The sequence below is a fragment of the Homo sapiens genome, chromosome 6 (genome assembly GCF_000001405.40).
Source record: "Homo sapiens chromosome 6, GRCh38.p14 Primary Assembly".
Lineage (NCBI taxonomy): Eukaryota > Metazoa > Chordata > Mammalia > Primates > Hominidae > Homo > Homo sapiens.
This window is the reverse complement of record NC_000006.12, coordinates 111390214-111414283: the sequence shown is the minus strand read 5'-3', so window position 1 is coordinate 111414283 and position 24070 is coordinate 111390214. Positions and strand designations below refer to the sequence as shown.

The 24070-nt window shown below is 36.1% G+C and overlaps 1 protein-coding gene across 16 annotated transcripts in view; it reads left to right on the top strand.

Annotated features, from left to right (window-relative positions):
• Positions 1-24070, top strand: part of REV3L (REV3 like, DNA directed polymerase zeta catalytic subunit) — a 184679-nt gene that overhangs the window by 69428 nt on the left and 91181 nt on the right. For all 16 annotated transcript variants that reach the window (NM_002912.5, NM_001286432.2, NM_001286431.2 and 13 more), the window contains 3 exons: positions 2730-2804; positions 8654-8814; positions 21312-21408. In NM_002912.5, coding sequence (NP_002903.3) covers positions 2730-2804; positions 8654-8814; positions 21312-21408 — 333 coding nt within the window. The remainder of the gene's footprint in view (positions 1-2729; positions 2805-8653; positions 8815-21311; positions 21409-24070) is intronic.

The following is a 24070-nucleotide window of genomic DNA, read 5'->3' as shown; positions in this document are numbered from 1 at the left end:
CAATCCTCCAGATCATTGACCTCTTCAGAGAAGTTTTCTTTGACTATCCCACGTAAAATAAGGTATTTTAAGTAGGGCATTATTATTATTACTGTTTTTATTATTCTGTATCTCAGCCCATTATTTGTTTTCTTTAGCACTTAATACAGTTTGCAGGTATTTTAATTTTTATTTATTTACTTAATTTTTATGTGTTTCTTCCACTAGCATGTAAACTGCATGCTAGTGCACTAGCATGTATGAGATGACTCAATAACTGTTTGGTTGGATAAATGAATGAGGTGAAAGTTTACACTCATCCTATAACAGGAGCAATTATGTTAGGGATAATTATCTACTTTATCTTTTAGTTTTGTTTATTCTTGATAGTTTCTAATAACTTTCCTATATATATCCTCATTTCAAAGTTAAGTCTCCAAACAGCCCAGTGAAATACATAGTCACTTATCTTCCTGTATTTTTGTATTTGTTAAAGACATTGCCACATTTTTGAGAGTAGTTGAGTTACAGATCTGGATACATGGGGCAACAGATGAGCTGCTCACTCTAATTTTTCATTGCAGTTTTCTTTTTTCTTCTAATTTTTTGGTCATTTTCTTCCCTAGATCCCCTTTTTCCTTCCCATTCATTCTACCTTCTCTAATTCCTTTACTCCTTCAATTTTTCCTACTTAAGTTACATAAAGTTGCATCTAGCTACCAAATTAACATTTACATGAGGTTTAACTCTATTCTTTTTAGACTATCACTATCCTGAGGCTGAGTTAAGAGATAGGATCATGACCTTGGGCTAATTTCTGGGATTCCTTCTCACTCATGATTTTAGAGAATCTTCTATAAAGAGATTCTCAATCCATCAAAATTAATTAGGTGAGATTTTTCGCTATCCACACTCATTTTCCTTCCTATTGATATACTTAAAAAACTAATTACGAGATATAATTTTTTAAACATGAAAACATCTGCTTTCATACTCCTCCATTCTACTTTTTTCCCCCAAAGAGTCTCCCTGATGAGGAATTCTTTTGGCAAAACCATTCATCTGGCTGAAGATAACCCATGTTTCCAGACAACTACCTTTGTATATATGAAAAATACCATAGCAGGAAAGGGCTACAGTTAAGGTTGAATTTGCCAATGAGAGAGAATGATATCATTTATGTAATATGTCTTTCTTTAACCAATTCTTCATGGCAACAAAATAGGGTATACAGCAGCAAACTAGACGGGAAGTGGTATTATAAAAAGTTAAGAAAAGGGTGAAGAGTAAGAGGGAGGGATGGTCAGGTGAGACTTTTCTGAGAAGGTAAATTAAGCAGAGTTCTGAATGAAGATTAAACAAGCCATGCAAAAGTCCAGAGCGGAGCTTTCCACTTGAGGGATCGAGTTAGAGGGTCTGAAATGTTTAGAGTGGTTGGAGGAGAAGGAAGAATGGTATGACTTGAGATTGGAGTGAGAGGCAAGGATGAGATGAGGAACCCTTTAGACCTTGGTAAATAGTTGTTTTTTTTTTTTTTTAACAGAAATTACTTTATAACAATAATACAGATGGCTTAAAACAACTAAAAAATTATACCCAAAATAATGTCTCTGCTACCAAATTAGTCCTTTATTTGATGTCCACTACACTATTAGACATCACAGAGAGGTGATGTCCTATGAGAGTAAATTCTATTATCTGCTGCCTGTCATAAGGGAACAATGTTTTTAAATAAAGAGTGATTGGGTTTATCCACCTAAAGATTTAACCGTGTATTAACAGACCACTTTTCAGCCAATACAAAGCCTTTTATTTCATTCACAAATTTACGCCTGTTTATGTATTGTTTCTAATTACATCATCCTTGAAAATAGTGTTCTGTATATCAGAGGTTGTAGTGTAGTTTCAGATCCTCCTGAAATGATGTGAGAGTTCAGCTTATTTCATCTTGCACCGAGGATTTCTCTTCCTGTTATATAGCCTTTTGCTTCCCCCTTTCCTCATTCCAGCTGATACCCCGAGAAAAAACTCAGCCATAACATGATTATGTTGCTTAAGTAAGTCCATGGTCTTTTTCAGTCTCTTAAGTTCCTGTCTACACAGTTTTTTCACAGGATGCACTTGATATGGTTGTGTGTTACAGGTTTATTCATATCAGCTACTGAAATACATGCTGTGTGTACATATAATAGGTACATTGTCTCTGCTTATTGAACTTATAAAATAATAATAAACAGCTGAATAAGGAAAGTAATGTAAGTGTTGTTAAGTAAAGGACTTTGTTGAAGAAGAACTTCAGTTTTTAACAAAAAAATGGGAGCCAGAAGAAGGCGGCTGAAAGGTCTGTTTCTCTCATATGTGGAGTAAAGCAAACAAAAATATGTTTTCTTATATGTGGAGTAAAGAAAACAAAAAGCCACTTAAAGAGTCTTGATGTTTGAGATTAAGGGGTGGATGGTTTGTTCTTCCTTTTTGTCCATAGTTTTTTCAGAGTGATAATTTTTAATTCCCATCGTCAGTAATTAAAGAAAGTGATATTTTTTACACTTTTTAAAAAAGCTTCAGTATTTCATGTTAACCTGTGCTAGGTTTAACTGAAAGGTTTGGGATTTTTTAGTTGTTTTTTGGGGGGTGGATAATATTAAACGTAAGACTGAATTTGGCCAGCTGAATCTAATTAGGGCAATAAGTTGCATTATTTCATCTCTGAATTATGAAAATAATTTGAAATTTTTTTTCTTATATTTCAGGCCTTTTTATGGTTATCATGAGAAGGAAAGACACTTTATGAAGATCTATCTTTACAATCCTACAATGGTGAAAAGGTACAAAGATAAATGAAACCAAAATATGAATAACTATCATTGAAGTATTTTAATAATAAAAAAAATCTAGAAAGAAGGCCTCTATAGTTTGTAGTCTTATTAAAGACAGAGACCGTAAAATACACATGTACGTGTATAGAGAGAGACCAGTGGCTTGGACTCTATGAAGGATATTTTAGAGGTGGAGGCTCCCAACTGCTTCTTTCCTGTTACAGATTAGAGAGTTCGTAGAAGTAGGTTAGGAGAGATTACGGCTGCCTTGTGTGATGTTAGGCCTCTTCTGGCCAGACCTTAGTTCAGCATTAAGAGAAAGTTGCTCTTTAGCTTCAAAGCAAGGGGAAATATGTAGGAGTGAGTCCAGAGTGAGAGGGCTTTTGAGATCTCAGAAACCTGTTGACTGTTTACTAGATGTTGGTGAAATTTTATATTCCAGGTTTTTTGTTGGTTTTGGTTTTGGTTGTTTTTTCTTCCCTCAGTTAGTCTCCCTGCCTCTAGCTTATCCTCTCAATCATCCTGGAGGGCAGGGAAGGGCACATATATGGAAGATTTTAATCATCCTTTCAGATTCAAAACAAGGATTTTCACTATGTATAGTGGGAAGCTAGGGTAAAAGTGGCCTCGGAGGTGTACTGAGTATTATTTTTTCAGGAGGTCCTCTCTGCTAGTAGGTACTGGGTTCCAAAAAGTAACTTTTTTGTAAAACACAGATTGGATGTTTTCCCATAGTGAATTAAAGCACTACAGGGGGCACGACTGCCCAGAACATGAGGTTTACCCTGGATTAAACCATTTGAGTACTTCACTGAAGCACAGCTCTATTCCCAATGGTTATTCCCTTGTAACTGAAAACTAGTTTTCTTACATCCTGCCCTTGATCTTACCCAAAATAACTTCTGTTCTGTACCAGTTCCCCTCTACTCATACTTCCTCATATTCGTGGAGTACAAAAGAGCAATTTCTGTGGACTCTTATTCTCTCACACACATACAGAGTGGTAAGAGAGTAAACCTCAGTCATTTTTCCCTTTCTCGTCCACAAGTTGTGCTGGAGTGGGAGCCATGATTAAAAGAGGCTTAAGTGTTTTATAAATAACCTATAAACAAATTATAAATACAATCAATTTTTTTCCTTGCAACCATAGCAAACACTAAACTGTTCTCAGTAAGTTTGCTTTAAATTATATAGTCAGCTTATCACAATGCCATTCTAAAATTCCTGATTTATTAATGGATTCATTCATTTATTCATCATTATTTGTTCATTTATTATTTTTTCAAGACAGTCTTGCTTTGTTGCCCAGGCTGGAGTACGCAATGGTGCAGTCATAGCTCACTGCAACCCCAAACTCCTGGGCTCCAGTGATCTTCCCACGTTAGCCTCCCAAAGTGCTGGGATTACAGGCCTGAGCCACCATACCAGACCTGTTTATGCATGTTTAATAAATATTTGCAAAGTACCTACATTACTTGATGCTCTGTGGAAGTTGATGGGCAGACATGGTGAGCAAAGTGTGCATGGTTCATGCCCTCAGGGAACTTACAACAAGCTGGGGAGATAGAGAATACACAGGTAACCCAAATATATAAGCAAAAATTGTGGTACTCTTTGGTCTGCCAAATGAAAACGTCAGTTCTGAATTCATCCATTTATTTTCTCTCCACTAAGCCTCAGTTTCTGATTACTGCAGAATAAAAAAATTTAAAAAAAAATTACACACTGGTGCCACTGTAAATTCATGGTTTTCAACTTCACCCAGACCCTTCCCTGCGTGCTGTATGTCTACTTTTTTCTAGTTAATTGTCTCTTTACTATTCTCTATCCTCTACTCAGGCCTTACCTTCTTAGAGAAAACAGAACCCATCATTCTAGAGAGGTGGTTTTCAAAGTGTGAAGTGGGGATTTCTGAAACCCTTTCAGGGGATTTGTATGGTCAGAATTCTCTTTATTATACTAAAATACTAAGATCTTTATTATACTAAGATTATACTGATTTTCCTTTTGCACTGTTTTCATTGATAGTGGGTTAATCTGGCACCTTGTCTCAAATCAGGGTAATGACATCAACTACTAATCATTGTGTTTTCTACCACTAAGTACTCACCTTTAAAAAAAAAAAAAAGCCGGTTTCACATTAGAATATCCATTAGGACATGGTAAAAATTATTTTATTGAATTTTGACCCTTGGTTATATATCTTTGTAACATTTATGTGACAAAATGAAAGTAACATGAAAGGCTATTAAATTATTTTCTTTTTCAACTCCATATCTGTGTGAGGCTAGATTTTCTTTATATACATCAACAAAAGCAATATACTGCAACAGATTGAACAGAAGCTGATGTAATAATCCAGCTATCTTCTGTAAAAACAAGGATTTGTAAACATGTAAAACAATGTTTCTTTTCTCACTAAGTTGTTCTTGTTTTGAAAAATATAGTTTAAAACAATGTTATTTATGTTAACATAGGAGTTTATTGTTACTTTAAAATTAGTAGGTGGGGCACGGTGGCTCACACTTGTAATTCCAGCACTTTGGGAGGCCGAGGTGGGTAGATCACGTGAGGTCAGGAGTTTGAGACAAGCCTGGCCAGCATGATGAAACCCCATCTCTACCAAAAAATACAAAAATTAGTTGGGCTTGTGGCAAGCACCTATCGTCTTAGCTATTCTGGAGGCTAAGGTGGGAGAATCGTTTGAACCCCAGAGGTGGAGGTTGCAGTGAGCTGAGATCGCACCACTGCATTTCTGTTTTAATTTCTAATATGGTAAATATCAGTAGATATAAACCACATAAACAAAAGCTCTTTAGTGTTCTCAATAATGTTGTTTTTGTTTTGTTTTGTTTTGTTTTGTTTTGTTTTGTTTTGTTTTGTTTTTAAGATGGAGTCTCACTGTTGCCCAGGCTGGGGTGCAGTGGCACCATGTCGGCTCACTGCAACTTCCGCCTCCCAGGTTCAAGCAATTCTCCTGCCTCAGCCTCCTGAGTAGCTGGGATTACAGGTGCCCACCACCATGCCTGGCTAATTTTTTAATATTTTTAGTAGAGATGGGGTTTCACCATCTTGGCCAGGTGGTCTCAAACTCCTGACCTCAGGTGATCCGCCCACCTCAGGCTCCCAAAGTGCTGGGATTACAGGCGTGAGCCACCGTGCCCAGCCCCTCAATAACATTTTAAGAATGAAAGGGGTTCTGGGGCCAAAAAGTTTGAGAACCACTGGAATAAAGCTCTCTTAAGGCTTTCTTAACCTTAAATTGCATTTACATCCATTCTCTCCTCGCTGCCTATTCCGTGAAAGAAATTTTTCCTCCTCACCTCTGAGGCTCAAGATTCATCTTCTTTGATGTTTTCAAGGATCGCTTCCATCTGTCGGCTATTCCCGTCTTTCTTTCCAATTCCATTTTAATATTAATAAAACTTTGCTAATTATACGCACACATTCATACTCATAGAAACACCTTTCTCATTTAGCCATTCTCCTTGAAAGATTTATCTATACTTTGTGTATCCAACTTCTTACCTCCCATTCATTGTTTGTTTGTTTTGAATTGGAATCTTGCCCTGTTGCTCAGGCTGGAGGTCAATGGCACGATCTCAGCTCACTGTAACCTCATCCTCCGGGGTTCATGCAATTCTCCTGCCTCAGCCTCCTGAGTAGTTAGGATTACAGGCACCACCACCACGTCTGACTAATTTTTTTGTATTTTTAGTAAGGACAGGGTTTCTCCATGTTGGCCAGGCTGGTCTAGAACCCCTGACCTCAAGTGATCCACCTGCCTCAGCCTCCCAAAGTGCTGGGATTACAAGCACAAGCCACTGTGCTCGGCTTTCCCATTCACTCTTTAACTTACTACAATATGGCTTCTACCCCAACCATTTTACTGAAAATTGCTTTCACTAATGACCTCTGTGTTGCTAAATCCAATTTTAGGTCCTTACTTTTTGACCTCATGGTGATGCTTATGGTGCCTTAAAACAATCCTAAATGTTAGCTTCTGTGATATATACCACCTCTAGTTTTTCTCATTCCAGTGTGATCAATCATATTTCTGCCATTTTGTTGGTTTACATTTTAACATCTATGGTTGTTTCTTAGAATTCTGCCTTAGACTTTCATCTTTACTCTGTATATTTTCTGTTCCCTCTACAGACTTATTTACTCCCATGGGTTTGTTTGGTTTTAACTTTTGTTTTTGTTTATCTTTATGCTTTTGACTTCCAAATGTATATGAATAGCCTCATTTCTCTCTAGAGCTTCTAAACAATATATCAAACCATCTACTGGATAGATGGAATAGCCGAGTGGTTAAGAGTGAGGGCTCACAAGGCAGAGAAATTTTGATTTGAATTTTAGCCCCTTTGTTTTTTTAAGACACAGGATCTTGCTCTGTTGCCCAGGATGGCATGCAGTGGCGCCATCATACCTCACTGTAACCTGGAACTCCTGGGCTCAGGTGGTCCTCCCACCTCAGAGCTCTTCTATCTTTTGTGTGATTTTTAAATCTAAGATAATTTCTTTATTTATAAAATGGAGATGATCGTACCACAGACTTGTAATAAACATTACTTGTAATAAAGTACGTTAGCACAGTATCCAATATATAGTGCTCAGAAATGTTAGTTACCTCTGCTGTGTTAATAAAATGATTATTATTTTCTTTATGATTCATTTCCAATATTATTATTGGATCCCCACTATACCTAAATGCCCTTGTGTCTAAATTGAGTTTATCCTTATTCCCCTTCCAAAAAATCCCAAACCAATTTTTCTTACAGTTCTTCCCCTTTCAAATAATTGCACCACCACTAACCAGCTGCTTAAGCAAGAAATCTAGGCATCACCCTCAGCCCCTTTTCTGTCTCACCCTTCACATCTAGTTAGTCATCAAGGCCTGATCATTTCACCCCTTATATGTCTCCTGAATCAGTACATTTCTATGATCCTTGTTATAGCCACCATCCTTAGTTTTTCCACAACAGCCTATTTACTCCTTACCTGTAGTCTTCTGTGTTCTATAGCTAGTCTGGTGATGTCACTTTTCTGCTATTCACCTCTCAGACAAATTTCACTACCTCTTCAAATGTCTTAACAGGCTCTTCATGCTCTTACTTCTCATTACTTCTCTATCCCTGCCTCTGACACTAGGTCACAGTCTTACTCAGTGGTTTCAGTTCCTGAATAAGCCGTGTTTTCTCGTGACCCTTTACATGTGCAGTTTTATTTACGTGAATACTCTTCCCTCTCTTCAGAGAAAAAAGTGCCTCTAGTTCATCATTTAGTCTCTTGCTTAGAGAGTTTCTCTAAGGTTTTGCAGAAACCACCTCTGTACCTCTATCTGTTTAGTATCTTTTCTAGATGTTTAATGTATTTCCCCACATAGTACTTAACTATGCTGTATATAATTGTCTGTTGTTTGTATTCGTCATCATGAAGGGAAAAAAAATACTCAGGAAAGAAAAATATCAAAATGGCAATACCTCTGAGTGGTGGGATTATAAGTAATGATTTCTTTTCCTTTTTTGAATATTAATCTTTTCAAAATTATTTGTTATTTTTAAAAGAAAAATTTTATTTTAAAAACCTTTTAATTTTTAAATATAGTTAGTATCAAATTGGTTTAAGACAAAATATTCTTCATCCATGCAGTTTTTTGTTATTCAGAACATGTTGCTTACTTGAAAACTTGATTGAAACTTTTAATTTCTAACAAAATACAAATTTCCGGTAAAATTGAGATGGAAATTTTGTGTGCTAATAAGTGCTTTGTTCTGTATATTTCTATAATCATTGTTTCATTTAACATTTTAGGGAACATAATTTTATGATAAAACTTTTTTTTTCTAATTTAGGATATGTGAACTTTTGCAAAGCGGAGCCATAATGAATAAATTTTACCAGCCTCATGAAGCGCATATTCCCTACCTCCTACAGCTCTTCATTGACTACAATCTTTATGGCATGAATTTAATAAATCTGGCTGCTGTCAAGTTCCGAAAAGCAAGAAGGAAAAGTAAGGTTAATTTTCAGTCAAATTAAATTTTTGTCAAATTAAAGTTTTGAAACAAGTGTTATATAGTCAGTGATTTATAAAATAATATATATTTAGAAAATAAATGTTGAGTGACTAAAGAATGAAAAGAAATACATGCAAAGTGGGATTAGAGATTGTCAGGAAAAGCATCTCAGAAAAAATTTTTTTTGGTAACAGCTTTATTGAGTTATAATTTATATCCGTTTAAAGAGGACAGTTTGATGGTTTTTAGTATACAGGCTACCTAAAAGGTATTGTGGGTTTAGTTCTAGACCACTGCAAAAGTGAACCCTTTACACTGCTTAGCAATTGATATGTATTGTGATTCTTTTTTTTTTTTAACCTCAGACCTTAATGTTACTTTTTATATTTTAGGAATAGTATATGATACACAATTCTAGAAATCCCTGGAGTTGTTAGAGCCTTGTTACTTTAGTCCAGCACTTCCCTGATGGTGTGAATAGCTGTAGGTTAGTGGACGTGTTGGTCTCTCAGCATTCCAGACGGATTCCTAAGTCCCTTGAGCCATCACCTCCACCACTGAACATCCTTGTCCATTTTATCTCAGTGGGCTGTGCAAGCATTGTTATTTTTCTTTGTGTGACATGACCTGAAAAATATTGCAGGCAGAGCTTTCTCTGGGTGAATTTGCTATTTCTTTAAAGTTCTTTATTTATAGAGCCGTTGATATTATGAACAAAACAGAATAACATGGCTATTTGAATAAGTGATTTCCTCTCAAAACAAATTTATTTTTCCTTTTACATTTGTAGCTTTCTGAGGTGAAAAGTAGGAGATCCCAGATTTTTTACTGTTGGAATGGAAAGTTACAGACCAGAGCAGCCTAGAGCATCTTGAATGGTGAATCCTTTCTGGAAGGTTTTCAATATATTTTGCCCAGATCCATCAGTGGAATCACTGTCAGTGACAGCTATAGCCTTATGAAATGCACTTCTTAAATAATAAGACTTGAAAGTTGAAATTACTCTTTGACCCATGGGCTGCAGAACGGATGTTGTGTTAGCAGGCAGGGAACCAACATTAGTCGTCTTGTACATCTCCATCAGACCTGTTGGGTGACCAGGTGCATTGTTAGTGAGCAGAAATAGTTTGAAAGGAATCTTTTTTCTGAGCAGTAGTTCTCAAAAATGGGCTTAAAATATTCAGTCAACCATGCTGCAACTGTTATACTGTCATCCATGCTTTTTTGATCCACTTATAGAACACAGGCAGAGTAGATTTAGCATAATTCTTAAGGGCCCTAGGATTTTCAGAATGGCAAATGAGCATTGGCTTCAACTTCAAGTTACCAGCAGCATTAAATAACCCTACCAAGAGAGTCCTTTGAAGCTTTGAAATCAGGCATTGACTGCTCTCAGGTTGTTTTCATCTACATTGCAAATCTGTTATTTAGTGTATCCACCTTCATCAGTTATCTTAGCTAGGTCTTCCAGAGAACTTGCTGCAGCTTCTACATCAGCCCCTGCTGTTTCACCTATCTGCAGTAAGGCTATTTCACTTTCTCATCGTTTGTGTGTTCCATTGGAGTAGCACTGTTAATTTCCTTCAAGAACTTTTCCTTTGCATTCACTACTTGGCTAACTGGCACAAGAGACCTAGCTTTTGGCTTATTTTGGCTTCTGACATGCCTTCCTTGGTAAGCTTAATCATTTTTAGTTTTTGATTTAAAGTGAGAGACATGTGACTCTTCCTTTCATTTGAACATTTAGAGGCCATTGTAGGGTTACTAATTTGCCTAATTTCAATATCGTAGTGTCTCAGGGAATAGGAAGGTGCTAGGAAAGAAAGAAACGGGAATGGCCAGTCAGTGGAGCAGTTGGAACACACTCAAGTTTGCTGTCTTTTATGGGCACGGTTTATTGTGGTACCTGAAAACAATTAACAATAGTAACATCAGAGATCACTGTTCACAGGTTTGAAATATTGCAAGAGGAACCAAAATGTGACAGAGAGACACAAAATGAACACATGCTCTTGTAAAAATGGCACCAATAGATTTGCTCAATGCAGAGTTGCCACAAATGTTCAATATGTAAAAATTTTAATATCTGCAAAATGCAATAAAGCAAAGCACAATTTAATGGGGTATTCCTGTATTTGGAGTTATGCAACCATCACCACAAATTCAGAACATTTTCATCACCTCTGAAAGAAATCCTATGACCTGTAGCAGTCACCCCCAAGCTTCCCATGTTTCCCACTCCTGAGCAACCTTACTAATCTACTTTTGGTCTCTGTATATTTGCCCATACTGCACATTTAATGTAAGTGGAATCATATAATATGTGGGGTTTTTTCCTACTTAGCATAATGTTTTCACGGTTCATCAGTGTTGTAGCTTATATCAGTACTTCGTTTCTTTTTATGGCCAAATAATACTCTGTTATGTGAATACACTACATTTTATTTATTCCTATCCCAGTTAATGGATATTTTGGCTATTATGAACAATGCTGCTGTGAACATCCATTTATGAATTTTTGTGTAGCTATATATTTTCATTTCTCTTGGACACCTACCTGGGAGTAGAATTTCTGTGTCAAGTGTTTTAGCATCTTTTGCCTTTTCTTCTCATTGAATTCCTTCCCTTCTACTTCTCTTAAAATGAAACTGACACTTCCAGTCCTAATATCCTTTCTAACTGCCATAATTTTTTTTCTTTTCCATCACTGTCAACCTTCTTGAAGCAGAGGTTAGCATTTTTTGTCTCTTAGTTCACTTTTGGTTTAACTCCTCGCATTTCTTCTACCATACCCAAACTATGCTCTGAAAAGTCACCAGGGAGGGTTTCTTTTTGTTGCCGTGAATAGTGGGCTAGGTTAGTGGGATCAGCCCTTCTGCTAAAAACAATTTAAGGGCCAGGCAACATTGAAATAAAAAAATTTAAATACATTGAAGAGTTTATGAACAATAAAGAAGTGCAGGCCAAAAGGGAATAGAACGCTTAAAGCAACTTTTGACCTGAGGGCATTTACTAATCTTGGAAAATTAAGAACCTTCTTTGGGAAGGCCATGCTGGGTGAGAGAGATGAAAAGCAGAAGTGGGTCCTGCCCAGCAGGTGGGAGCCCTCCGCAGGTTAAGGTAGGGCCTCAAATGCATATTCTCTTAAGGTGAGCACAGACTGGGAAATGGAACATACTTCAGACATTTTTTTTTCAGTATAGTTTGAATCTCCTGGGACTAAAAGAGATTCCCAAATCCAGAGCTTGATCTAAGGTGGTGCTGGTCTAGTAATAGACTCAGATCTGACAGAAGCAGCAAGTGCAAATCCTCCCTAGAGGATATTATTTTTATTTTTTATTATTTTTTTCTTTGTAAGACAGGGTTTTGCTGTCACCAGACTGGAGTGCAATAGTGTGAACATGGCTCACTGCAACCTCCACCTCCTGGGCTCAAGCCATCCTCCCACCTCAGTCTCCCAAGTAACTGGGACTACAGGTGCATGCCACCGCACCTAGCTAATTTGGGTATTTTTTTTGTAGAGATAGGGTTTCGCCATGTTGCTCAGGCTGGTCTCAGAACTCCTAGGCTTAAGCGATCCACCCACCTCAGCCTCCCAAAGTGCTGGGATTACAGGCATGAGCCACCATGCCTGGCCTCCAGAATCTTTATCAAATAATGATGCTATATGCAATGCTCTAATGTCATGTTATATTCACTAATAGTTTTATTTGTTTTGTCTCTCCAGCATGCTAGTAATTTTCTTATGTGGAACAACTTATGCATTTAAACTTTTTTTCAGAAGAGAATGTTTTGTGGTGACAACTTGTTAAAATTACATTTTTATTTTAAATACACAAATATTGAAGCATTGAAACTAGCATGTGCCTCCCTTTTAGAGCAGAGTAATTCATTTGTTCATAACTAATTCTTCTGGATAATAACCTCAGGTTTAGATGACAACTTATAGTTTACTAAATGCCAGTTTTTCTTATCTTCTCTGTATCTTAGAGTAGTATAAAATTCCCACAGTAAACCAAAGTATGTGAGCAAATAACTTGCCCTTGGTCCTTAGAATTCCCAAGAGGGAATCATATAATGAAGGATGAAGTAGGCTTGGCTTTTTCTCCATAATGACTGAAAGGAAAGGAAGGAAGAGGGAAGATAGAAGAAAAGCAGGACAGAGACAACTGTCCACCAATTTCTCCCATCTTTGTGAAGGTTGTATTATTTCATGTCCAGGAGATAATCCTTTTTTAAAGTATGGAGACTTCCAAAAGTTGAGGTTTAGGGAGTTCATTACCCACTTTCGAGACTTACTATAAAGCAACAGTTATCAAGACAGCATGGTATTGGCAAAAAGATAAACACATATACCAATGGAACAGAATAGAGTCCAGAAATAGACCTATATTTGAAATAATCCATAATTGGCCCATATAGTCAACTTAACTTTGACAAAGATATAATGGTAATTCAATGGAGAAAGCATAGCCTTTTCAACAAATAGTGCTGGGATAATTGGATGTCCATATGCCAGAAAATAAAAATAAAAGAACATATTTTTGTATGTTCTTCACACCTTATACGTCACATACTTCACACCTTAAATAATAATTAAAATACTTCACAAACTTAAATGTAAAATATGAACCTATCAAACTTCTAGCAGAAAATAAGGGAAAATGTACCCAGTCTTGGGTTTGGCAATGAAGTTTTAGATATGACACCAAAAGCATGATCCATGAAAAGAGAAATTAATGTTAGATTTTGTCAAAATTAAAAACTTTTACTTTGTGAAAAACTGTTAAAAAATGAAAAGACAAGTCATGGACTGGGAGAAAATGTTTGCAAATTACAATCTGATAGAGGACTTGTGTATAAAATATATAAGAATTCTTAAAAATCAACAATAAGAAAGCAAACAGTCCAATTAAAAATGGTCAAAAGACCTAAAGAAGATATAAGGATGGCAAACACATGAAAAGATGATATTCAACATTATATGTCGTTAGGGAAATACAGATTAAAACTACAAAGGGCTACCACTATATACCTATTAGAATGACTACAATTCGCAAGACTAACAATAACAAATGTTGACCAAGAGGTGGAACAGCAGCGCTGACATTCTTTGCTGGTGGGAATGCAAAATAATATAGTCACTTTGGAAGACAGATAGTTTCTCAGAACACTAAACATAGACTTAGAGTGCGACCCAGTGATGGCACTCCTAGGTATGTTTACCTAAGTGATTTAGGTCCACCCAAACCTGTATGCAAATGTTTATAGCAACTTTATTCATAACTGCCAAAAATGTAAAGCAACCGAGATGTCCACTCAACAGGGGAATGGATAAACTTTGATAACATTTAGTGATAAAAAGGAACAAACAATTGATTCATATAACATGGATGAATCTTTAAAGCATTTTACTAAGTGAAAGAAGCCAGACCGAAAAGGATACAAACTGTGTGACTTCATTCACATGACATTCTGGAAAAGGCAAAACTATAGAAGTAGAAAATGGACTATTAGTTGTTAGGGTTTAGGAGAGAGGGAAGTATTGACTGCAAAGGGGATGTACAGGGGAACTTTTTAAGAGTGAAGGAATTATTCTGTACAGTCCTGGGTTGGTGGTTACATGACTATTCATTCATCAAACTCTATAACCACGTGATGTACCTTAACCAAGTGATGAGGTTTAATGTCACCAGTTATTATGTCATGTGGGTGTCATGTGGCCCCTCATGTGATGTGATAACAAAGGTACTTCGCCTGTGTGATATTCTTGCCAAAAACTCGTAACCCCAGTCTACTCATGAGAAAAACATCAGACAAACCCAAATTGGGAGTTGTCCTACAGGTTATCTCATCAGTTCTCATGACTGCAAAGGTCATGAAAAGCAAGGAAAGACAGATAAATAGACCAGAGGAGACTGGAAAGACATGGCAACTGAATGCAGTGTGGTGTCCTAGATTGGATCCTGGAACAGAAAGAGGACATTAGTGGAAAAACTGGTGACATTCAAATAAAAGGTTTTGTTTAGTTAATAGTAATCTTCCAGTGTCAGTTTCTTTGTTTTGACAGATATACCATGATAATATGATAACAATGAGGGAAACCAGGTGTCTGGTATATGGAAACTCTCTGTGGTACCCTTGGAACTTGGAACTTTTCTGTAAATCTAAAGTTATTAAAAAATAAAAAGGTTACTGGGGAAAATAATAAGTTAGTTATCATTGTCAAGTATAACCAAGAATTTAAGACAGATTGAGGAATGGAAGAGTTTCTAGAGTATATACATTAGATATTATAGAAAGAGGAGATAATTTTCATAATTAGTTTTTTCCAGTAGGTGAAAAAGCACAAGAATAGTTTGAATTAGCAAATATACAGAAACCATTTATTTTATTTATAAAAGTTAGATTATTGGAATGGTACTCAGAAGGGTTTTTTTCAGAATATCGGAAGTGTTTACAGATTTGAAGGCATCATGTGAAATTTATTAGGTTGTTGCAAAAGTAATTGCAGCTTTTGCTGTTACTTTCAATGGCAAAAATCACAATTAGTTTTGGTAGAAAGGAAGTTAAAAACAGGGAAATTGCAGTATGATAAAAAAATTTACATCTTCTTTTATCATATAGTTAGCCCTCAGGTTTTTGTTTTTGTTTAGTATGAGATAAAAGATTATACTGAAATCATGTACAAAATCAGTGAATAATTTTTTTTATTTTATTTTATCATGTTATCTCAGGCACATTACAGTTTAACTTGACAGTAAACTTCTTGTAAGTAAATATATGTATTACATGTATGCATAACTTCATTTTACCTGATAAATTAATATAATACATGGAGTTTTACTTTTGAAAGTAAAATACATTCAAAAATGAAAATGATTTAGAAATTTGAATATTATATGTGCATATACAGTTTTGCCTCAGCACTCAGTTGTATAATCAGTGGTCAAATGAAATGGAAATGATGCTAATTACTGTAGTTGTTAAAATGAAGTGTATAAAGTATGTAAATGGGACAATTTTTTTTTTCTTTTTTCTTTTTTTCCCCCCACATGGGTAAAAGAGGAATAAATGGAGCAAATGTTTTGAGCACCACAGAAGCATTTTATATTTTTTTAACATCCTCATTTTTCAACTGAGTATGTATTTCTTGCTGTATATGAATTTTTAGGATACAATTTTAGTAACTAGTCACATAAGTTATATATTATTTTACTTAAAGGGAACATTCCTATAGTTTGCTACTAGAGAAGTTTCTCTGAACATGTAGAGTGCTGAAAAGATGTAACAGTTCTCAATATGTATGCACCCAACACCAGAGCACCCACATATATAAAGCAAATATTATTAGATTGAAAGCAAATGTTATTAGATTTGATTCTTAGCATCTGTCCAATGCTGAGAGTGGGGTGTTGAAGTCCCCAACTAGCCAATACAATACAGTGATAGCTGGGGACTTCAACACCCCACTCTCAGCATTAGGCAGATAATCTAGACAGAAAATCAAAAAAGAAACATTGGATTTAAACTTTACTTTAGAGCCGGGCACCGTAAGCCTGACACTTTGAGAAGCTGAGGCAGGAGGATTGCTTGAGCCCAGGAATTTGAGACTAGCTCAGGTAACATAGTGAGATCTCATCTTTACAAAAAAGATAAAAATCAGCCAGGTGTGGTGGCATACACCTGTGGTCTCAGCTACTCAGGAGGCTGAGGTAGGAGGATTGCTTATGCCTGGGAAATTGAGGCTGCAGTGAACTGTGGTCACACCACTGCACTGCAGCCTGGTGACAGAACAAGACACTGTCTCAATAAATAAATAAACTGCACTTTAGACCAAATGGACCTAACAGACATTTACAGAACATTTTATCCAGTAGTTGCAGAATACACATTCTCCTCATCTGCATGTGGAACATTCTCCAGGAAAGATCATACGTTAGGCCACAAAACAAGTCTTAACAAATTTTAGAAAATTGAAATCATATTAAGTGTCTTTTCTGACCACTATGGAATAAAACTAGAAATCAATAAAAAGAGAAACTTTGGAAACTGTACCAATACATGGAAATTAAACAAAATGCTCCTGAACCTTTATTGGATCAATGAAGAAATTAAGAAGGAAATTTAAAAATTTCTTGAAACCAATGAAAATGGAAACACAACATACCAAAACCTATGAGATACAGCAAAAACAGTACTAAGAGGTAAGTTTATAGCAATAGGTGCCTATATCAAAAAAAAGATTTCAAATAAACAATGTAATGATGTACTTTAAGAAACTAGAAAAGCAAGAACAAAGCCAAAATTAGAAGAAGAAAAGAAATAATAAAGATCAGAGTAGAACTAAACAAAATAGAGACTAAAAAAAAAAATACAAAAGATCAGAGAAATGAAAAACTGGTGCTTTGAAAAGATCAATAAATCGCTAGCTAGACTAACCAAGAAAAAAGAAGACATACATAAAATTAGACATGAAAAAGGAGACATTACAATTTATATAACAAATAGAGAGGATCATCAGAGACTATCATGAACAACTATATGTGAACAAGTTGGGAAACCTAGAGGGAATGTGTACATTTTTGGACGCATTACAGCATACCAAGATTGAACCAGGAAGAAATAGGAAACCTGGCCAGGCACAGTGGCTCACACCTGCAATCCTAGCATTTTGGAAGGTCAAGATGGGAGGAAGGCTTGAGCTCAGGAGGTCAAGACCAGCCTGGGCAACAGTGAGACCTTGTCTCTATTTTAAATTTTTAGAAAAGAAAACCTGAGCAGACGAATCACAAGTAACAAGATTGAATCTGTAATTTAAAGGTCTCCCAATAAAGAAAAGCCCAGGTCTGGATGGCTTTACTGCTGAATCCTGCCATACTTAGAAAGAAAAACTAACACCAATTCTTCTCAAACTAGTCTAGAAATTTGAAGAGGGGGAAATTCTTCCTAACTCATTCTATGAAGCCAGCATTATCCTGATACCAAAATCAGACAGGACACAACAAAAAAAGAAAACTACAGGTCAGCATCACTGATGAACATAGACACAAAAATCCTCAACAAAATACTAACAAATCGAATCCAACAAAACATAAAAAAAAAAAAATACACCATGATCAAGTGAAATTTATCCTAGGGCCAGGCACAGTGGCTCATGCCTGTAATCCCAGAACTTTGGAAGGCTGAAGTGGGTAGATCACTTGAGCCCAGGAGTTTGAGACCATCCTGGGCAACATGGTGAAACCCTGTCTCTACAAAAAATAAAAAAATTAGCTGGGTATGGTGGCATGCACCTGTAGTCCCACCTACTTGGGAGACTTAGGTAGGAGGATGGCTTGAGCCCAGGAGGCGGAGGTTACAGTAAGCCAAGATCATGCCACTGTACTCAAGCCTGGGTGACAGAGTGAGACCCTGTCTCAAAAAAAAACTTATTTCAGGGGTGCAAGGATTGTTCATTATATACAAATCAATAAATGTGATACATCACATCAACAGAATGAAGGACAAAAACCATATGATCATCTCAGCTAACACAGAAAAGTTATTTGATAAAATTCAATGTCCCTTCATGGTAAAAACTCTTGATAAGTTAATCATAGAAGGATCATACCTCAAATAATGAACATCATGTCTGAAAAACCCACATTTAACATCTTACTGAATGGGGAAAAGCTGAAAACCTGCCCTCTAAGAACTAGAAGAAGACAGGATGCCCATTTTTACCACTCCTGTTCAACATAGTACTGAAAATTCTAGCCATAGCAATCAGGTAATAAAAGACACCAAATTGGGAAAAAGGAGGTCAAATTGTCCCTTTTTCACAGGTGACATGATATATATGGCAAAACCTGAAGACTCCAACAAAAAACTCTTAGAACTGATAAATTTAGTAAAGTTGCAGATTTTTTTTTAAAACCCACAAAAAACTAATAGCATTTCTGTGCACCAATAACAACTAGCTGAAAAAGAAAACAAGAACACAATCCCATTTATTAAGGCTACCAAAAAGAATAGTAATAAATTTAACCAAGGAAGTAAAGGTTGTATAGGAGGAAAACTAGAAATTACTGATAAAATTAACTGAAGTAGACAGTGGAAATAGACAAATGGGAGACATCCCATGTTCATGGATCAGAAACATTAATATTGTTAAAATGGCCATATTTTCCAATAAAATCTAAAGATTCATTGCAGTTCATATCAAAATACCAATGACATTCTTCATGGAAATAGAAAAAAAAATTCTAAACTTCATGTGGAACTACAAAAGAGCCTAAATAGCCAAAGCAATCCTGAGCAAAAAGAACAGTTGGAGACATCATATTACCTGAGGTCAAAACGATACTACAAAGCTTTAGTAACCAAATCAGCATGATGTTGGTATAAAAATGGACACACAGGCTGAGCAAAATAATACTACAAAGCTTTAGTAACCAAATCAGCATGGTGTTGGTATAAAAACAGACACATAGGCTGAGCATGGTGGCTTACTCTTCTAATCTCAACAGTTTGGGAGGCTGAGGTGGGAGGATCACTTGAGCCAAGAAATTTGAGTCCAGCCTGTGCAAGATAGTCAAAGCCCATCTCTACAAATTAGCCAGTCACGATGGTGCATGCCTGTTGCCCCAGCAGCTTGGGAGGCTGAGATGGGAGGATCATTTGAGCCTGGAAGCTCAAGGCTGCAGTGAGCCATAATCATACACTGCACTCCAGCCTGGATGACAGTGAGACCCTGTCTCAAAAAAAAAAAAAAAAATTGTAGGACAGATACTCTGGGACATTGGTCTGGGAAAAAATTTTATGGCTAAGACTTCAAAAGCACAGGCAACCAAAGCATATAGACAAAAGGGACTGTGTAAAAGCTTCTGCACAGCAAAGGAAACAATCAACAGAGTAAAGAGACAGCCTACAGAATGAGAGAAAATATTTGCAAACTATTCATGAAATGAGACTAATCTCCAGAATATGTAAGGAACTCAACAGGAAAAAAAATAGTTTCGTATCTGAATAGACACCTCTCAAAAAAGAAGACATACAAATGGCCGGCAGGTATATTTTTTAAATGTTCAACATCACTAATCATCAGGGAGATGCAAATCAAAACCACAGTAAGCAATCATCTTACCCCAGTTAGAATGGCTGTTACGGAAAAGACACCAACAAATGCTGGTGAGGATGCAAGGAAAAGGAAACTCTTATACACTGTTGGTGGGAATGTAAATTAGTACAGCCATTATGCAAAACAGTATGGAGGTTTCTCAAAAACCAAAAACTAGAACTACCATATGATACAGCAATCCCACTGCTGGGTATTTATCCAAAGGAAAGGAAATCAATTCAATATATCAAAGATAGATAACCTACACCCCCATGTTTATTGCAGCACTGTTTATAATAGCCAAGATGCGGAATCAACCTTAAGTGCACATCAGTGGATGAATGGATAAAGAAAATGTGGTATATATACACAATGGAATTATATTCTACCATATTTTTTATGAAAATGAAATTCTGTCATTTGCAGCCACATGGATAGAATTGAGATCATTATGTTAAATGAAATAAGCCAGGCCTAGAAAGACAAATATCACATGTTCTTACTGATGTGGGAACTAAAAAAAGTTCGTCTTTAGCCAGGAGTCGTGATGCACCCCTGTAGTCTCAGCTACATGGGAGGCTGAGGCAGGAGGATTGCTTGAGTCCAGGAGATTGATTCCAGTCTGGGCAACATAGCAAGATGTCATGTCAAAAAAATAAATAAAAAGAAGAAAGGTAGTTACTAGAGGCTGGGAAGGGTGTATGGGAAGGGTTCCAGGAAGATACGAAGACAGGCTGGTTAATGGATATAGACATACAATTAGACGAAATAAGTTCTAGTGTTTGATAGCATACAGGAGTGACTGTAGTTAACAACAATACATTATATATTTCAAAATAACTAGAAGAGAAGATTTGAAATGTTCTCGACACAAATGGTGAATAATGTTTGGGCTGATGGCATCCTAAGTACCTTGATTTTGTCATTACAGATTGTATGCATGTATGAAAATACCACATGTGGCTCTATGAGTATGTACAAATATTATGTATCAATAAAAAGGGATCTGTAATTTATGAGTAATAAAATTTTTTAAAGAACATTTACCAGCCGGGCATGGTGGCTCACACCTGTAATCCCAGCACTTTGGGAGGCCGAGGCAGGCGGATCACAAGGTCAGATCGAGACCATCCTGGCTAACACGGTGAAACCCAGTCTCTACTAAAAATACAAAAAAAATTTGCTGCGCTTGGAGGCTACTCGGGAGACTGTGGCAGGAGAATGGCGTGAACCTGGGAGGTGGAGCTTGCAGTGAGCCGAGATTGCGCCACTGTACTCCAGCCTGGGCAACAAAGCGAGACTCCATCTCAAAAAAAAAAAAATTTACCTTCTAAAAAGTAATTATATGAAAATTGAAAGTAGAATTTATTCCTTTTACCTTTCTATTCCTAGGTAATACATTGCATGCAACTGGATCCTGCAAGAATCATTTATCAGGAAATTCTCTTGCTGATACTTTATTTCGGTGGGAACAAGATGAAATACCAAGGTTAGTTAATGTTGTAAAGGAAATGAAAATTTTACATATATCCTAGTTGTGATCAGAAATCAGTGGTTACCATAATTAAATTTTAACCTTTTATTGTATTGGATCTTTTTAATCTATACACTTAACAGAAACAAACCTTGACATTAGTGTATTACAAGGAATAAACGATTTTAAAAACAAACCATGAAAATGTACTAGTTATTACCTAATTAACAAAAGGAATACAAGGTAGATATTGTTATACTTTTCTGCAACATTCATCTTCATCATCTATTCTAATTTGATATCCTATAACTTGTCAAGTAAAACAATTACATTTATGATAAAATAGTAATTTAAAACAAAAATCTAAATATTTTTAATAACCCCTAAAATTTATAAATATTAAATAAGTAATAAAGTATTTTGACATGCTCTGGTTTTGAATAATATAATTTGTAATTTATTTGTTTCATTATTGATTAGATTTTTTTTGGAGGCAGTATATTCCAAATGCTTGGATTTCTCTATTTCAAAGCAGCTATGTATTTGCTTATGCAAATTTTTTACTCATACATTTTCTGTCTACTGGTGCTAATTTTTAATTCTGAAAACTACTTCCCCTCCATAGGAACACCTCCTGTTCTGAATGTCTGAAGTAGTTTTGTATAAGGGCAAGTTGTAAATTTCTACTGTGAGATTATATTTTTTGAGGTTATTGTTTCCCTCCTTTCTCTCAAATGTGCTACTTCGGGAATATTCATCCTTGACATTTACAACATAATTATTTCAAATTATAAAACTTTTTTATATGAGAAAACTGTGGATCATAAACATTTTTAAATTTGATACTTCAATGTGTGTTAAATTGTATGAATGAAGAGGACAATTCACATTTTGTTGTTGTTGAGACAAGGTCTCACGCTGTTGCCCAGACCGGAGGTCAGTGGCACAATCTCAGCTTACTACGACCGCCGCCTTCTGGGCTCAAGTGATCCTCCCACCTTAGCCTCCCAAGAATCTAGGACTATAGGTGTGCAACACCATGCCTGGCTAGTTTTTAAAAATTTTTGTAGAGGTGAGGTCTTACTATAATGCTCAGCCTCCCAAGTATCTGGGACTACAGGTGTGCAGCACCATGCCTGGCTAATTTAAAAAAATTTTTTGTAGAGATGAGGTCTCACTATATTGCTCAGGCTGGCCTCCCAAGCCGAAGCTGGGATCACATTCATGAGCCACCAAGCGCAGCTGACAATCTATATTGAGAAATATTTTTTCTGAAAGAGAAAGGAATATATTATGATAGGTTGGCTAATTATATTCCTTCTCTATCAATGGTGAAAAGATACGTGTGTTTGAACATCTAAATATATACTTGTGAGTACATATATACGTATATTATTTGAGTTGTGAAAATTCTGTGGTTTAACAACTAACATGTAATATTCCATCAAAATTTCCTTTAAAATAGACAATGGAAAATGAGTTTTTGCTAACATGTTTTTCTTAAAACATTAAAAAGTGTTTCAAGGCCAGGGCGCAATGGCTCACACCTGTAATTCCAGCACTTTGGGAGGCCGAGGTAGGCAGATCACTTGAGGTCAGGAGTTCAAGACCAGCCTGGCCAACATGGTGAAACCCCTTCTGTACTAAAAATACAAAAATTAACTCTGCATGATGTCACATGCTTGTAATCCCAGTTACTTGGGAAGCTGAGGCAGGAGAATCGCTTGAACCTGGGAGGTGGAGGTTGAGGTGAGCTGAGTTCGCACCAGTGCACTCCAGCCTGGGCGATGGAGCGAGACTCCATCTGAAAAAAAAAAAAAAAAATACCAAAGTGTTTCAAATCAAAAGTTAATGAAATATGTCATCAACCACTTTGTAGTAAAATTAAGGATCTCCCCTTTTCCACTTGGTGTCCATTTTTGTACAAGGCCTAAATTTTGGAATGAGTAAACTAGGATCCACACTAGATGTTATCTCTTCATTCTGTTAAGTAGGGTCAATTATGTGGTGTCTTCTTTATCTTCTCTTTTGGGGCACTGATGAAAAGCAAATGCTTTTGAGTCAAAGATCCAGACTGGGAAACAATCCTTTGTAGTTCTCATAAAAATTAATGACCTGGTGATATCATTACTTTTCCTAGCTATGATCCCACTGTTGATCATTCATACATTTTATCAGTTCTGTAGTTATGAAGAATTTTAAAGTATTCCCTATCTCAGCAGTAGTTGAGGGCAGGAAGAATGGTGAATATCGTTTGCCCATTTCTCAGTGTGCTCACCTTCCCTTTTATTGCATGTTCTCCCTTGTTTTTTGAATACTGAAAAAGATGTCTCTAGGCAACTGATTTCATATGTGTATGGTTTTTTATGCATTCCTCTGAGGTTTTTATATTATCCTATCCCATTCTGCCCCGGGTATAACCATATGCTAAAACGTTTTATATTCCTTTTATATAAAATATAATGAACCAAAATACGTAGAATTTACTTCAAAAGGATCTAGGGTAGTCAGTATAATATGTTTTGTATTTTTCTCATCCTATTTTTCATTATATATACATATAAAGTATCAATTTTGTCAGAATAATTGTGAATTAATATATCAGGTTTTCTGGGTACAAGCTAAATGTAAGATAATTGTATAAGTAAGAAAAATGTTAGAAAGTTTGCTCTCACAT